Source organism: Homo sapiens, chromosome 19 (assembly GCF_000001405.40).
Source record: "Homo sapiens chromosome 19, GRCh38.p14 Primary Assembly".
NCBI lineage: Eukaryota > Metazoa > Chordata > Mammalia > Primates > Hominidae > Homo > Homo sapiens.
The window spans coordinates 42,479,824-42,495,840 of NC_000019.10; the positions used below are offsets into that span (position 1 = coordinate 42,479,824).

The 16,017-nt window shown below is 41.9% G+C and overlaps 1 long non-coding RNA gene and 1 pseudogene across 2 annotated transcripts in view, besides 1 other annotated feature; one reads left to right on the top strand and one right to left on the bottom strand.

The window, feature by feature from the left end:
• LIPE-AS1 (LIPE antisense RNA 1) overlaps positions 1 to 16,017 on the top strand; it is a 255,208-nt gene that overhangs the window by 82,676 nt on the left and 156,515 nt on the right. Inside the window, exon 2 of one of the 2 annotated variants that reach the window (NR_073180.1) lies at positions 5,273 to 5,400. The exons of the other annotated variant lie outside the window; for it this stretch is intronic. This is a non-coding gene — a long non-coding RNA (LIPE antisense RNA 1). The remainder of the gene's footprint in view (positions 1 to 5,272; positions 5,401 to 16,017) is intronic. 2 annotated transcript variants of the gene reach the window in all.
• Positions 1,080 to 1,280: a silencer, noted in NCBI's record as "peak3491 fragment used in MPRA reporter construct". NCBI's record gives its function as "represses an SCP1 promoter by STARR-seq MPRAs in K562 erythroleukemia cells {active_cell/tissue: K562}" and the evidence as "EXISTENCE:reporter gene assay evidence [ECO:0000049][PMID:32103011]".
• LOC732229 (AN1-type zinc finger protein 5-like) lies at positions 5,231 to 5,942 on the bottom strand (annotated as a pseudogene).

Consider the following 16,017-nt stretch of genomic DNA (forward strand, 5'->3'; position numbering starts at 1 on the left):
GAGTTACTCAACCCTACCTGGAGTCAGTCCTAGGGTTAGCATTCCTGTGCGCTTACTGCTTTGACAGATTCTTCCCTTTTCCATCTTTGAAACCAGTTTCACCAGGGGCGGTGGCTCACGCCTGTAATCCTAGCACTTTGGGAGGCTGAGGAGGGCGGATCACCTGTGGTAGGGAATTCGAGACCAGCCTGACCAATATGGAGAAACCTCGTCTCTACTAAAAATATGAAATTAGCTGGGCGTGGTGGTACATACCTGCAATCCCAGCTACTCAGGAGGCTGAGGCAGGAGAATCACTTGAACCCGGGAGGCAGAGGTTGCGGTGAGTGGAGATCGCACCATTGCACTCCAGCCTGGGCAACAAGAGACTCTTGTCTCAAAAAAAAAAAAAAAAAAAGAAAAAAAAAGAAACCACAGTTTCTCCCAAAACATTAACAAACAAGCACTCCCACAGAAGTAGCAATGGAGATTCTACTGCTAGCATAGGAAGAGAGAAAGAAGGAAACCATTAGCAGTCTCCACTGGATTTTTCTAAGTTAGCAACTATTTATAGTTTTGAAAGTCCTATTTTAGAAGAATATGATTTGTTTAAAAGATGATGAGCAAATCAGTAGTTTTATATTATATGTGGTCATAAGCAGAGAAAAGACCTGGTTATAGGAGAGCAGATTTTAATGCGGTATGGAGGCATTATGTTTGAAATGTTGATAAATCAAATCTGTCGTGAAGCTGGTCTGGCTTAAAATACTTAGGATCTGTCTTATCTTCAGCTAGCTCTTCCCTTCCAGATTTTGAAACCAGCGCAATTGTCCCACAGGACTAATGTTTACAGGTTTTTTTAATAAACATAGAAATTGACCTTCCCTAGTCTTAGAACTCTAAACTTGTATCTGTCTCATCTGAGTTCCTTCCTTAGGAAACCTACCCTCAGGCAAGGAACTGAAACCCATCAGATCCTCACACCCAGACAACGAGATACCAGACTCCTCATCCATCGTGACTGCTTCCCTACCCCTCCCTAATTTCTGTTTTCCCACCTTCCCTGCTATATAAACTCCCCAGTTTCAGTCTGTCAGAGATTGATCTGAGACTTTATCTCCTGTTGACCTTCACTGCAGCACCAGATTCAAGCCCTCCTTCCTGGAAATACTTGTTGACTCAGTGACTGGCATTCTGTGCAGCAAACCGCAGGACTAGGCTGAATGCTTGGTATTTCAGTAATAATTTCCTGTGAGAAGGAAGGAAGTAGTTAGAAGAAAGAGCATGATCGTAATAGGAAACTAAAAACTGTGCATCTATTTCAATATTTCAATATTTAAATATATTTAAGCCTGTCTTATATTAAAAAATCCCCTTTTTGAACTCTACTTCTCTTACTGGCTTCTACCGTATCACTCTCTTCTTTTTTTAGAAGCAAACATTTATTTATTTATGCTTATTATTTTTTTTTGAGACAGTATCTCGCTCTGTTGCCCAGGCTGGAGTGCAGTGTTGCAATCTCGGTTTACCGCAACCTCCTACCGAGTTCAAGCAATTCTCCTGCCTCAGCCTCTCAAGTACCTGGGACTACAGGCATGTACCACCACGCCCGGCTAATTTTTGTATTTTTAGTAGAGACGGGGTTTCACCATATTGGCCACGCTGGTCTTAAACTCCTGACCTCAGGTGATCTGCTCTCCTCGGCCTCCCAGATTGCTGGGATTACAGGCTTGAGCCACCGTGCCTGGCCTAAACTAATACTTAAAAAGAGTTTATAGTTACTATCTCCATTTACTTATCTCCCATCTACTCCTGAGCATCCTAGAGTAGATTTATTCCCGTTGTGCAACCAAAACTACTCTTACCAGTGTCGCCAATGATGACACAGTTGCAAAATAGAATGACCCTTTCACCCTTGTTTTACTTGGCGTTGCAGCCCACTTACCACAGTCCGCCAGTGCTTTGCTTTGGAACTGCTGCTCTGGCCCTCACACTGTTGGGTTCTCTTCTACCTCTTCGCCCGTTCCTTTTGAGTTTTCCTTACCACCTTCTCTGATGTGTCCATTCCATTCCTTAAATGTCATTGGTCTGTAGGGTTCTGTCCTAATGTCCTCTTCTCTTTCTATATACTCATGTTCCCTCTGTGACTTCAGTTATAATTGATACCTGATGAATGGCCCATCTCTCTCTCTCTCTCTTTTTTTTTTTTTTTGAGATGGTGTCTTGCTCTGTTGCCCCGGCTGGAATGCAGTGGTGTGATCTCGGCTCACTGCAACCTCTGCCTCCTGGGTTCATGCCATTCTCCTGCCTCAGCCTCCCGAGTAGCTGGGACTACAGGTGCCCACCACCACGCCTGGCTAATTTTTTGTATTTTTAGTAGAGACGGGGTTTCACTGTGTTAGCCAGGATGGTCTCAATCTCCTGACCTTGTGATCTGCCCGCCTCGCCCTCCCAAAGTGCTGGGATTACAGGCGTGAGCCATCACGCCGGCCATCTCTCTCTCTCTTTAAACAGAGATGGGGTCTTACTCTTTCGCCCAGGATAGAATGCAGTGGTGCGATCATAGCTCACTATAACTTTTAACTCCTGGACTCAAGCAATCCTTCCACTTTAGCATCCCAAAGTGCTGGGATACAGGTGTGAGCCACTGTAACCAGCTAATTTTTTTTTTTTTTTTTTGAGACAGAGTCTCGCTCTGTTGCCCAGGCTGGAATGCAGTGGCGCAATCTCAGCTCACTGCAAGCTCTGCCTTCCGGGTTCACTCCATTCTCCTGCCTCAGCCTCCCGAGTAGCTGGGACTACAGGTGCCCGCCACCACGCCCAGCTAATTTTTTTGTATTTTTAGTAGAGATGGGGTTTCACCGTGTTAGCCAGGATGGTCTCCATCTCCTGACCTCGTGATCCGCCCACCTCGGCCTCCCAAAGTGCTGGGATTACAGGTGTGAGCCACCGTGCCTGGCCAACTGTGCCCAGCTAATTAAAAACTTTTTTTTTTTTTTTTTGGTAGAGACAGGGTCTTGCTATGTTGAACAGGCTGATCTTGAACTCCTCTGGCTTCGAGCTATTCAGCTACCTAAGCCTTTCAAAGGGCTGGGGTTACAGGTGTGAGCGACTGTGCCTGTCCTCCATCTCTCTCGTTCTCTCTCTCTCTCTTTTTTTTTTTTTTTTTTTTTTTTTTTTTGAGACAGAGTCTCCCTCTGTCGCCCAGGCTGGAGTGCAGTGACATGATCTCTGCTCACTGAAACCTCTCCCTCCCGGGTTCAAGCGATTCTCCTGCCTCAGCCTCCCAGGTAGCTGAGATTACAGGTGCCCACCACCACACCTGGCTAGTTTTTGTATTTTTAGTAGAGACAGCGTTTCGCCTTGTTGGCCAGGCTGGTCTCAAACTACTGACCTCAAGTGATCCGCCTGCCTTGGCCTCCCAAAGTGCTGGAATTACAGGTGTGAGCCACTGCACCCAGCCCTCCATCTCTCTGGAATTGTATATCTCAACAGTTTATTGGACATCTGCTTTTGAATATGCAACATGTCCAAAAAAACTGAACTTATCTTGCCTCTAAACTTGATTGTTTAAAACAAAATTTTAGCCAGGTGCAGCAGCTCACACCTGTAATCCCAGCACTTTTGGGAGGCTGAGGCGGGAGGATTGCTTGAGTCCAGGAGTTTGTGACCAAGCAAAGAGTAAGACCCCATCTCCATTTAAAGAGAGACAGAGATGGCTGGGCGCGATGGCTCATGCCTGTGACCTGGGCAACATAATGAGACTTCATGTCTTAAAAAAAAAAAATTAGCTCGGCGTGGTGGCATGTGCCTATAGTACCAGGTACTCAGGAGGTCGGGATTGCTTGAGCCCCGGAGGTTGAGTCTGCAGTGAACTGTGATCACATGACTGCACTGTAGCCTAGGTGACAGAGTGAGACCCTGTCTCAAAAAATTAAAAAAAAAAATTTCAGTGGATGGTACCCCACAAAGATCCACACCGGAAATCTGGCCACCATCTTTGATTACTCTTTTATCACCCCCACATCTAGTCGATCACTCAGTCTTGACAATACTACCTGCTAAATATCTCTCAAGCTGTCCACTTCTTTTTCCAACCTTACTCACACTACTGATTCAGCCATTTCCTTTTCTAGATCACTGCAGCAGCCTTCTCTCTGATTCCACTTTTTTGTCTTCAGTCTAATTCCATGCCACTCTAATTCATTTTCTGCAGTGTGGGTGAAGTGGATGTATGAAACAAAATTCTAATCACATTTTCCCTAATATTAAAGCCCTTTAAATGGTTCTCTGTTGCCCTCAGGATGCACTTTGATCTCTTCAATAGGGCCCCCAAGCTTTTTTTGTTGTTGTTATATTACAAATTTAAAAGAACTCAGTCTTCTCCAGCTTCATCTGTGCTAATCCTGCCCCCACCTTTCCCCCATTCTTGTACTCCAGGTACACAACACATACTTTAATTCCTTAAATACCCCTGTTCTCTATTGTATCTGGGCCTTTGCAGTTATTCTGTCTGCCTAGAATGCTCCTGTTACGCCTCTTTCTTATCAACTTTAGTTATCTTTGGTTTAGACATCCCTTCTTCTGTGCTATGCTATGCTAACACCCCAACCCCAGGTCATGCTTCTGAAGTACCCAGTACTTACCCCTGTGTAGCGCTTACCATGCCCTCTCAAGATTACCTGGTGAATGTATTGTAAGCATTTTGTATGCAGGGACTACATGTCTCACTATTGAATCCTGGGTCCTAGAAAAGTAGCTATCACATAATAGATGCTCAGTAAATACACATCGTTACTTTGGCTATGTTTGCCATTAAATCAATTAAACAAGTGGTACAAAGCTGGTAGGGAATGACCAAAAATGGGGTCCTAGGCTTCAATGTTAGGTTTTTTTTTTTAAAAGTAAAGTCAAAGTTCAGATTATTGCAGTTTTACAGGTTGGCTATGGGTCTTAATGGGCTTATGGGATATTACAACTGAATCTAAACTCTGTCCAGCTGGTACAGTCTTTATCCAGGCTTCAGTGTTCTTTTTTTTCTTAAAAAAAAAAAAGCTTTATTGAGATATAATTTATATGCCATACCACTCACCCATTTAAAGTATATTCCTCAATGATTTTTTCCCAGAGCAAGAGTGGAAGTTTATTTTATTTTATTTTATTTTTATTTATTTATTTTTTTTTAAAAATGGCCATGCATCTGCTCTTTAATGTTTTCCTATGATGTATTAAAATAAAAACAAAGTTTCAGTCTCTTCACAAGAAGTAATTTATATTCTCTGAATTTTTTCAGCCACAACAACTGGATTCTCTTTTCTGATTTTTGCTGCAGCTTCTGCTTTGTAATCATACGGACAGTTGTGCTTGTCAGAGTTAACGGTGAAGTCCACAAAACAAATTTCCACATCGGCAGTCAAACCTGTAAGACCAACTTTCTTTCTGCACATGAAACATCTGTTTTTCTTTGGTTTGGGCAATTCAGGAGCTTTTTCTTTACTCTGAGAAGTACTGGGCTGAAAAACTGATGGGCTGGGCTGAGTGACAACTGGCTCTCACACCTCTGTTTTCGGGGTAGTTATTTTGTCCTCTGTTGAAATGCTCATTTCTGTCATTTGCTGAGTTACAGGCAAGGCAGCCGCAGGCACATTTCTTGATTTTTCAGATGTGCTGCCAGCAGCACCTTCACAGTTGTTTAAGCTAGTGTCTGCTCTCTGTACAGATGCAGAATCTGAGGTAGGACTGTTGGAACCACTAGCTGTCCCCATTGGGCTCATTCTGCCACTATTCTGCTGCCTCTGAAGATGTTCTTTGTAGCAAACTGAACACATTCCATTTGTCCTAGGATTTCCATAAAAGCCACATCCTGTGCTACACAGCATGGGCCCCGGGGTCTGGTTAGTCTCCTGAGCCATATTTTTCTGCCAGGTCTGAGTTCCAACCATCCCCATGGCCAAAGGGATTTTATTTTATTTTTAAGATGGAGTCTTGCTCTTGTCGTCCAGGGTGGAGTGCAATGGTGTGATTTCGGCTCACGGCAACCTCTGCCTCCTGGGTTCAAACGATTCTCCTGCCGCAACCTCCTGAGCAGCTGGGATTACAGGCGCCTGCCACCATGCCCAGCTAATTTTTTTTTTTTGTATTTTTAATAGAGATGAGGTTTCACCATGTTGGCCAGGCTGGTCTCCAACTCCTGACCTCAGGTGATCCACCCACCTCGGCTTCCCAAAGTGCTTGGGATTACAGGTGTAAGCCACCGCGCCTGGCTGGAAGTTTATTTTTAAAAGTCTTTAGAAAATAAAAAAAGAGAAAGTATGCTTGGAAGACACCCAAGTGCGTGACTTGAAGAACAAGTGCCTGATTTTTAGTATAGTCACAGAATTGTGTAACTGTCACCATAATCAATCTTCAGAACATATTCATCACCCCAGCAAGAAACCCCATACCCATTAGTAATTGCTCCTTTTTTCACCCCACCCTTCAGCCTCCTCTCTCCAGCCCCTGGGAACCCTAATCTACTTCTTTGTTTCTGTGAACTTGCCTATTCTCAATATTTCATATGAATGGAATAATATGTGTTCTTGTGACTGGCTTCTTTCACTTAGCATAATGTTTTCAAACTTTATCCATGTTGTATCATGTATCAATACTTTATTTCTTTTTATTTTTTACTTAAAATTTTTTTCCTATACAGATGAAGTCTCACTGTATTACCCAGGCTGGTCTCAAACAACTGGGCTCAAGCGATCCTCCCACCTTGGCCTTTCAAATTGTTGGGATTATAGGTGTGAGCCACTGTGCCCAGCCCCGTTTCTTTTTATTGCCAAATAATCTTCCATTATATGTATATACCACGTTTTGTAAATCCATTCATCAGTTGGTGGACATTTGAGTTGTTTCTGCTTTTGGCTATTACAAACAATGCTGCTTATGAACATTTTCTTTCTTTCTAAGAGATGGAGTGTTGCTCGGATCACTGAAACCTCCGTCTTTCCAGTTCAAATGATTCTCCTGGCCCAGCCTTCTGAGTAGCTGGGATTACAGGTGCACACAACTACACCCAGCTAATATTGGTATTTTTAGTAGAGACGCAGTTTCACCATGTTGGCCAGGCTGGTCTTGAACTCCTGAGCTCAAGTGATCTGCCCACCTCAGCCTCCCAAAGTGCTGGGATTACAGGGGTGAGCCATCAAGCCCAGCCGTGGACATCTGTGTATGAGTTTTTGTATAGACATGTTTTTATTTCTCTTGGGTATATACCTAGGAGTGCAATTGTTGGGTCATATTATTACCAGAATGGGGTCCTGATCAAGTCCCCAAGAGAGGGTTCTTGGATCTTACACAGGAAAGAAGTCAGGGTAAGTCTATAGAGTAAAGTGAAAGCAAGTTTATTAGAGAAGAAACAAAAGAATGGCTGGTCCATAGGCAGAGCAGCCCTGAGGGCTGCTGGTTGGATATTTTTGTGGTTATTTCTTGATTATATGCTACATATGGGGTGGATTATTCATGAGTTTTCCAGGAAAGGGGTGGCGATTTCTTGGAACTGAGGGTTCCTTTTCCTTTTTGACCATTTAGGGTAACTTCTAGACATTGCCATGGTATTTGTAAACTGTCGTGGCACTGGTGGGAGTGTCTTCTAGCATGGTTACACATTATAATTAGTGTATAAAGAGCAATGAGGACAACCAGAAGTCAGTTCCATCTGTATCTTGGTTTGGGCGTGTTTTGGCCAGCTTCTTTACTGCATCCTGTTTTATCAGCAGGGTCTTTGTGACCTGTATCTTGTGCTGACCTCCTATCTCATCCTGCAACTAAGAATGCCTAATCTGGGAATGCAGCCCAGCAGGTCTCAGCTTTATTTTACCCAGACCCTGTTCAAGATGCAGTTGCTCTGGTTCAAACACTTCTGACATATTTCCCCCCTCCTTTTTACAAGGGGATCTTTAATCCTAAGGGTTGCAGAGGGGCAAAGATCCATCCACTGTAACTTCTTTAGGCTGACTAGGGGCAATGATATTCCTGCCTATTAGGGTCTCTTGTATCCAGGGTAGAGAGGAGCTCAGTCAGAAAGCCTCAGTATGGTGAGGGCCCGTCATAACTCTGAGTTCTGACAAAAGGTGATATCTGAAAGACTAATAAGTGCTCAATTTAAGAAAACATTGAATAAGCTTTTCTTGCATTTTTACACAAAGAATATGACAGCAATATATTCCACAAAAGTAAAGCGAAATAAGTAAAATTATTCCAAGTGAACTAAATAAGAAAGCTTTTCATGAACGGGGCAGTTGTTGGAACCAAGCTGATACAGTCACTAGCTGATTCCAATACATGCCCAGAATTAAAATATTGATCCAGATTTTTACATTACCTTCCCCTTTTGTTTCTTCTGAGCAGCAGCCAGAGATCACTGGTTGGTTCACAGGAAGAAGCAGAGTCAGTCTAAATTGCAGAAAAAACTCAACAGATGAGACTAGAATCTAATAACAGGTGTATCACGGTTTTTGAAAAATAATTTTTCTCTCATTCCCATTTTTATTAAAAACAAATCATGGTAGGACTCATTTATTTGCAAACTAAGTTTTAGTCTTATTATACTAGGTCTGATTATTTGTATAAAGTGCAGCAAGAGTAATTATTTGCCATATAGGCTCTTTTTAAATTGGATTTGATGGAACTTTGTTCCATAAGGAATCTCAGATTAGAGCTTTTAAAGCACTGATCCTAGCCACGGGTTTGTACCTTCAAATACTCGTATGAATTGGGTACATTTCTTTCCTCTCAATTTCCCAGGATAATTGGGACTCCTGGGCCAGAAAGTGACATTTTTGGCCAGGTGTGGTCGTCACACCTGTAACCCCAGCACTTTTGGAGGCTGAGGTGGGTTGATTACTTGACGTCAGGAGTTTGAGACCAGCCTGGCTAACATGGTGAAAAGCCTGTCTCTACTAATAATACAAAAAAAATTTAGCCTGGCATAGTGGCACATGCCTATAATCCCAGCTGCTCGGAGGCTGAGTTAGGAGAATCACTTGAACGTGGGAGGCGGAGGTTGCAGTAAGCCAAGATCATATCACTGCACTCCAGCCTGGGTGACAGAGTGAAACACTCTCTCAAAAAAAAAAAAAAAAAAAAAGTGACATTCTTTAGAAAGTGACATTCTTTACTTACCACAGGTCAGGATCGCTGTACAAGGACTGCATAGACAAGGCACGAGGCCAGTTTTCCCAGGGGGCTTTTTCTGACTCTGTAAGTCAACTTTGATTCCTTAAAAGTAGTCTTTTTGTACCTGGCATGCCATTCCAGTCAAAGCCTTCATAAAAGAACCATTGTCTCCAATGGTGTCCTGTTACGAAAGAAAACAGATTGTTATTGTACTTGTGCAAATATTGCCATAGTCAAGAATACTTACAGTTTCCAAATTTTGGAGAAAGAAATATGCTCCAAATTTTCTTTATAGGAATATATTTTACTTGTTAAAAGCTGTAAATAGCTCAAAAGAAAAGTATTCTTGACTCTGAAAAGACAGAAAGGATCAGCAATGTTTTAGGCAAAAAGTCATAAAAAGATTATTTTCATCTTTTGTTAGTTCAGTCTATGCAATTAGTTCCTGTTTCACTCAACATTTATGTACACATTAGTTTTCCAAGAGAGTCTTTGAAGTTCTTTCTTCTCTATTTTAATGGCACACTTTCCAAAGTTATCAAAGGCCTGCATTTAAGAGTACTCATCAGAGTCCTATAGCTGATTATAAACTGCTCTTTAAAGAGGATCAAAATAAGACAACAATTGTCTGTGGATGACAAAAATTATTATGGCAGTCATGGTTACTTCTGTGGCATACAACAATTTTACAAAACAATTATAATTATTACTGATAATATACACTAAGTCATATCAGTATTATAGGAGTATAGCATAATTTTGGAAAACATACCAATAACACATTTATACAAATACACCCAAAGAAAGCCAAACACTGTTTCATATTTGACAGTGCTTCCTGTATGATTTTAATATACCAAATAAGCCAAATATGTCTCTTTTGGACTTTAGGGTACCTGATATCTAAAGGATTAATCAGGTCAGAAAAAGGCAACTTATAATTTGATTTTGGAAAGTTTTCAAATATTAAAGTTTTAAAATACTTGATATAAAATAGAATCCCAGCACACTGTAAGTCATTGAGCCAAAATGATAAAGATTTTAAAAAGGGAAAAACCTGGCCGGGCATGGTGGCTCACGCCTGTAATCCCAGCACTTTGGGAGGCTGAGGTGGGCGGATCATAAGGTCAGGAGTTTGAGACCAGCCTGGCCAATATGGTGAAACCCCGTCTCACTAAAAATACAAAAAATTAGCCAGGCGTGGTGGTGCACGCCTGTAATCCCAGCTACTCGGGAGGCTGAGGCAGGAGAATTGCTTGAACCCGGGAGGCGGAGGTTTCAGTGAGCCAAGATTGTTCCACTGCACTCCAGCCTGGGTGACAGAGTGAGACTCTACCTGAAAAAAAAAAAAAAAAAAAAAAAGGGGGGGAAAACCTTTACTCATTGATAGAGGGAAGACTTAGCTTTCCAAATAATTTTCTCTTTTCTTTCATTCTTTTTCCTGTAGTTTATTCAAAAGGCAAACAAAAATCTTTCATTAAAAAAAATTACACAAAAATCTTGTTCAAGAGTGAAAGCCAAGTCTCACCTTTATGTTAGTGTACTATATTGATGTTAAATCCAGTTCTTAATAAAACCTAATAGACAAATCTGTTCAGGTGCAATGGCTCATGCCTGTAATCCTAACACTTTGGGAGGCTGAGGCAGGAGAATCACTTGAGCCCAGGAGTTCAAGACCAGCCTGGGCAACACAGTGAGACCCTGTCTCTTAAAAAAAAAAAAAAAATCTTTTTTTTTTTTTTTTTTTTTTGAGATGGAGTCTTACTCTGTCACCAGGCTGGAGTGCAGTGGTGTGATCTTGGCTCACTGCAATTTCCACCTCCCAGGTTCATGCCATTCCCCTGCCTCAGCCTCCCGAGTAGCTGGGATTACAGGTGTGCATCGCCACACCCAGCTAATTTTTGTATTTTTAGTAGAGACAGGATTTCACCATGTTGGCCAGGATGGTCTTGATCTCCTGACCTTATGATCCACCCGCCTTGGCCTCCCACAGTGCTGGGATTACAGGCGTGAGCCACCGTGCCTGGCCAAAAAAAAAAATCTTATACACAAATCTGCCTAATCTTAATCGTTTTATCATAAGGTTAGATTCTTATAAACCTTTTATAACTCTTTACAGTTTTTTTTTGGTTAAAGAATAGAACCATGCTCTAAGAAAGCCATGTTATGCTTTTATTCCAATGTTCAATTTACAGATAAATTGAATAATACCCCTTTAATTTTAGCCAGTATATTCTCATACAGAATTTCTTTTACAACACTAATCTTTCATAAACCTTTCACAACTTACTCAAACATCAGCTTTATCCTATCCTTTAACTCTCTAAATTAGGGAAAAAAACACATCCCCATACTTTCTTATAATCTTTTACCAAAAACACATTCTACTTTCCTTATATACCTTGCATGTAAAACTGTTTCTCTAGTAGTCTCAATTACATATGTTACAATGTTAACTCTTAGCAACTTTTATTTTTGGTGAAAGACCTGGTAAGTAAGCAATTTTATTTATGTGCCAGGTGTGTAGCCTAGGACACCAGACAGAAATGCAGATAAGGTCTGACTATTTCCAACATAGTTGGGGGCATGGATAACTCCATATGTCCCCAGGCCTTACCTAGAATCTAGCTACAAAGCAGGTAAGTTGTACAAGTATCAAAAGTCAAAGAAGTAGTTTATAACCTTAAACCGTCTAGCAAAGATAGTATTTGACCTACCTAATTTAGACTAAATGTCTTAAGTTTTGAAGATGTTTTTATTTTACCAATAATCTTGAAAAGTGTCTTTATTTCATAAAGATTACTAAAGTCATGTGAACTAAAAGGCATTAAAGTTTTTATTTTTCTGACAAAATATTTGATTTCAGCACTTTTCTTAAAGCCAATTAATTGGAGCTTTTTATATAAATACCACACACACAACACATATAAATACACAGACAAGAAAAACAAAAACAAGAACAAAAAACAAAACTTAGATACACAGACAGAAGCAGAACCAATAGTTGTAAGATTTTTCATTTGCCAGTTTTTAAGTTTTTCTTTCCCATTTTATGAACCCTATCATGACTTACACAGACCATCTAGACTTTCTAACTTGTCTTACATTTCCCTTTTTCCTAAATAATCAGTCATTCTACTTTAGGACAAGGATTTACCATACAAGATCTTTTCTCACATAATATTTCTTTTCTTTATAACTTTCCTTACCAAAAATACATCTTCATATCCATAACTTTCTTCACACCTCTCTCCCCTACTGTTTTTTTCTCTTTCTACCTTTTTTCTATTTTCTTCTGTCCCCTGTCCTAATTGTCAGCTAAGCAATACTAAATTACATTTCCAAAGGGCCAACTCTTAGATGAAACAAAATAGAGAATTCATGTTTTATTCAAACCAAGGAAAAGTGGTGTGAATAACAGTTCAGTTAAGACAGCCAGGGCCAGGCGTGGTGGCTTATGCCTGTAATCCCAGCACTTTGGGAGGCCAAGTTGGGTGGATTACCTGAGGTCAGGAGTTTGTGATCAGCCTGGCCAACATGGTGAAACCCAGTCTCTAATAAAAAAATACAAAATTAGCTGGACATGATGGCGGGTGCCTGTAATCCCAGCTACTCGGGAGGCTGAGGCAGGAGAAACACTTGAACCTGGGAGGTGGAGGTTGCAGTGAGCCGAGATTGCACCATTGCACTCCAGCCTTGGAAACAAGAGCAAAACTCTGTCTCAAAAAAAAAAAAAAAAAAAAAAAAAGACAGCTAGGAAAAACATACACTCTTACACATGGAGATTTCTCTAAGGATGTAAGTTAAGTTAATTACTGACTGGCTTTCGGGTGGAGCCTTTTAAAGAACAATGCCAGGGAAGCATGCGGTTTCTAGAACCTAATAAGCAGACACAGCTGGAAGGCAAAACAGATTCCCCAAGAATTAACGGACCCATTTTTTTTTTTTTTGAGATGGAGTCTCGCTCTGTCGTCCAGGCTGGAGTGCAGTGGCGCGGTCTCAGCTCACTGCAAGCTCCCCTTCCTGGGTTCACACCATTCTCCTGCCTCAGCCTCCCGAGTAGCTGGGACCACAGGCTCCCGCCACCACACCCGGCTAATTTTTTGTATTTTTAGTAGAGACGGGGTTTCACTGTGCTAGCCAGGATGGTCTCTAATCTCCTGACCTCGTGATCTGCCCGCCTCGGCCTCCCAAAGTGCTGGGATTACAGGCATGAGCCACTGGGCCCTGCCAAGGGACCCATTTTTGTACTGGATCCTGGATCCCAAAAAAGAGGTAATCAGCCCATCTCCCATGGGAGACTTATCTCTCAGTGGGAGTTGTGGATGTTTCCATACCTTTTAGGTGGCTGAGAGCATGTTTCTCTGATCCAAACATGCAAAGAGCTGAGTATCCCCCCATAACTGCCATTAGCCGTCCCTTAAATATATTTCCTACCTAGTTATTACACATGGAGGCTAAAAGCTCTCTCATAATGCAAAGTAATTTCTTTTTTTTCTTTTTTGAGACAGAGTTTCTCTCTTGTTGCCCAGGCTGGAGTGCAATGGCGCAATCTTGGCTCACTGCAACCTCCGCCTCCCAGGTTCAAGCAATTCTCCTGCCTCAGCCTCCCGAGTAGCTGGGATTATAGGCATGCACCACCATGCCCCGCTAATTTTGTATTTTTAGTAGAGACGGGGTTTCTCCATGTTGAGGCTGGTCTCAAACTCCTGACCTCAGGTGATCCACCTGCCTCGGCCTCCCAAAGTGTGGGGATTACAGGCGTGAGCCACTGCACCCGGCCAATGCAAAGTAATTTCTGATACCCCCCAAAAATCAAAATGTCAGGTAATGCAGTGCAAAACAGAACAGAGCCTTAGATTTTGAGAGGCATCTATCCTCTTTTATTTTGTATTTTTTGAGACAGAGTCTTGCTCTGTCACCCAGGCTGGAGTGCAGTGGTGTAATCTCAGCTCACTGCAAACTCCGCCTCATGAGTTAAAGCAATTCTCTGCCTCAGCCTCCTAAGTAGCTGGGATTACAGGCGCCCGCCACCATGCTCAGCTAATTTTTGTATTTTTAGTAGAGATGAGGTTTCAGTATCTTGGCTGGTCTTGAACTCCTGACCTCGTGATCGACCTGCCTCAGCCTCCCAAAGTGCTGGGATTACAGGTGTGAGCCACCGTGCCCGGCCTATCCACTTTTAATTGCTGGGGTTCCATGAAGAAAAGAGAAGTTTCCCCAAAATGGGGTCTGTGTCACCCCTGTTTTTCCCAAGGAGTCCCAGCTGTCAGAAATTATCTTAGGTCCTCTTATGTGGGCATGAAGGTGGCAAGAATAAAAACTGGAGAAAGAGAATTCAGTCGTCTGAGAAGAAAAAGTTTTTGTTTTTTCCAGAAAAGTAAGATCCAAGAAAAAAACCATAAAGGCCTTTAAAACGTATGCATCGCTTGGACATCTGCTTTAAATTAAGCCAGCTTTTAACCAAATCTCTTATTACTAGATTCTAGTTAAGACAAACAGCCAATATTTCTGGCTTTTGGACTTTACCAAAGGTAACTTCCCAGATGAAACCAATAAGTTTTAACTAAGGTTATGACTTAACTGTGGGTGTACCGGGTATTTCCAAAGAGTTGGTAAGCAGTTTTTACAAGATATAGAATCTCTAAAGGTAGCACAGAGAAAGGAAAATTTGAGAAGGGAAGCCAGAAGTTGTTCATGGATGGGGGCACATGTTCTCAGGATCTCCTGAGGGTTATGTCATGGGCAAAAACAAACAAACAAAAAGTAATAAAAATAAAAAATAAAAAAGAAGTTGTTCATGGAGAGGAAAGGAATTAATAAATGGTAAAGGTCACACAAATAAACCAGAAAGGACTTATTCCCCAGGCTGGAAATTGAACCCAGGCCACCATTGTGAAAAGATGAAATCTTAGCTACTGAGCTACAACATTGGGCAGTTTCTGTTATTCTTCCCAGAAGGAGCCTAGAGCAGCCAATTTTGAACTTGCTAAGGCTTTTAACTGCTCAAGATAATTTTTAGGGCTGTGACATGAGCCCCCAAATTCCTGCCCTCCAGATGGCAGAGACCAAGAGAAAGTACCATGGTTACAATGTCAGACTCCCAAGGACATAAAACAAGATGAAGGAGAAACCTCATCCAGGTTTTTGGTTTGTTTGTTTGTTTTGTTTTTTGGTTTCATTAACCAGCAGCAATTTGTAACTGAACAGCTTTCTGGGGTGGCTTGAACAGAGGGCTTACAGGGGTCCTTGGCCTGCATTCTATCCTGTGGTATCTCTTTTTATGACAGAACGACACAGAAAGACAAATTCATAGCACAAATTACACTGGATTTGTTACAGCCTAAGATTAGCTTCATAAATCCTTTTTCCCAGTAATGAAAACTTTGCAGAGGAGATAAAAAGTGATTTTTACCATGCATTCAACTGGTTTGCGCACAGAGAGAGAGAGGAAAGGGAAGGGAGAGGGAGAAAAGCATTGCCTGCAGCAGGGCAGGGGAGGCAAGGAGCTCGGGGGGCCAGGGAAAGACCCACCCATTGCAGCGACACTGGATCAAATGTTCAGGCAGCTGATCGTCAGTCTTGAAGGGATCTTTTCTGGTAGTCTCATTGGCTCTCAAGTTTCCCCCTTTAGGGAGAAAAAAGCTCCCTGTGTCCCACGATCCTGTACATGCCTAATCCTATCACTCATAGCCTTCAGCAAAGAGCGCAAGGCAGATTAATCCAAAGAGAATAGTGGTTAACATCCCGTAGTACCAAATCCATTTTTAACCAAGAACAGTGTTACCAAGGGAGACCTCTAACTCCCTATGTCTTAGGAGGGACTCTGACCTTCCTAAGTTGAGCCTTTAACCCAAGTTCAGACAAGCGTCTTTGCCC